Source organism: Homo sapiens, chromosome 5 (genome assembly GCF_000001405.40).
Source record: "Homo sapiens chromosome 5, GRCh38.p14 Primary Assembly".
In the NCBI taxonomy this organism is placed as follows: domain Eukaryota; kingdom Metazoa; phylum Chordata; class Mammalia; order Primates; family Hominidae; genus Homo; species Homo sapiens.
This window is the reverse complement of record NC_000005.10, coordinates 116,441,921-116,443,554: the sequence shown is the minus strand read 5'-3', so window position 1 is coordinate 116,443,554 and position 1,634 is coordinate 116,441,921.

The window sequence follows — 1,634 nt, the reverse complement described above, 5'->3', positions numbered from 1 at the left end:
TCTTTTGTGTCCTGAATGCTTTTATTTATCTCTTAATTTTTCCTTTTTAAGCTGCTCTCCTCCCCACCCTTTGTGGGTATGATGCTACTCTTTCCTCCATTTGTATCTGGCTTCCAAAGCATACATAACGGTATAGTTTGATGTATTTGTTTGCAGTGTCCACACCCAGCCACCCCCACCCAAATTATTGACGTGTTTCTCTGCTCAAACCCAGCCTGGAGCAGGATTTTAGCAGAAGCCACCGGTAATTAAAAAGCAGAGCATGCATTGGCTCCTTCTATTCATTTTATGCATTTTCTTTTTATGGGCTTGTTCATCATCAAACATTTATGGTAGGCTTGATAGTTTAAGAGATCAAGGCTAGGATTTTAGTATGTAGGGTCCACTAAAAATAGATCCTTGCACAGATGTGACTTCAGTCTTCTTACATATTAATAAGGTGGAGGGGGCTGGATTTTACTCCTTGTTAGCATTTATCTTTTGTAACACAGAGGGTATATTGGAGGTATATTGGGACACAGCCTTTGATTTTTCTTTGGCAAAAAGAGCATTATTTTGCAAAAAGAGCATTATTTCTTTTGCAAAAGAGCATTATGAAATGCCTAGGTCAGGTTTTCCTCTAGGGGTGTTTTTAAAACAATTATTTAAATAAGTCTTCAGCTACAGTATTTTACTTTTGACCCTCTGAAATTTTTTTTTTTTTTTTTTGATGCTTTAAGTCAGTTGAGTGTGGGAAGCTGCAGGTTGAGGCCTCAGTTCATACCTATAGTGGCCCAGTAACCTTTAGATTGCCATCTCCAATTGTGTTTCTTGAATTACATCCATAGCGCCTGGCACAAAGTTGACTAGAATATAGTTTCTACCTCCTCATTTGCAAAGAGAGACCGACATGGCCCTTGTAGTTGCCATTTGGAGGTACGAACAAAGTACTGATGAAGCTCCCTAGAGGTTAGGGTAACAATATTTGTGCTGGTTCTTAAAGAACAAGTTTTCTGAACAACTAGCTCAGGCAGAGGGGACATCCTTTGCAAAGGCACCAAGTGTGCTCTTTGGGAAACAAAAGGTTCAGCAGGCCTTGTGCAGGATCTGTGAGAGCTTGGCAGGGCAAGTCTGGGAAAGGGTGGTTGGAGACAGGCCAGGAGGGACCTGGTTCCCATATGCTAGGAATTTAGCTGAAGCAGTGGAGTGCTCCCTTGCTTTGGAGTAAATAAAACAACAGACACCGTTTGTGCTTGGGAAAGCTACCTGGCCATAATGTGGGAAGTGAATTGGCCTAGAGAGGGACTGCAGGCCAGCTGGGCAGTGTGCCAGATGGCATGCCAAGTGGGTGAGAGCAACACAAGTGAAAACCGCACATCCAATTTCAGATGCAAAAAGGAACAGTCACAGAGCTGAGTCCTTTTTGCCAGAAAGAACTTCCACTGTATGTAATTGACAGGTTAGCCCTGCCCGGTTATACCCAAATGTCTTATCTAGAACTGACAGAATGGCCAACCTCTAGTATGACCCTTTCATTTTAAAAATGGGGGAAGCTTTGCGAGGCCGAGGTGGGCGGATCACGAGGTCAGGAGATCGAGACCATCCTGGCCAACATGGTGAAACCCCGCCTCTACTAAAAGGCAAAATTTAGCCAG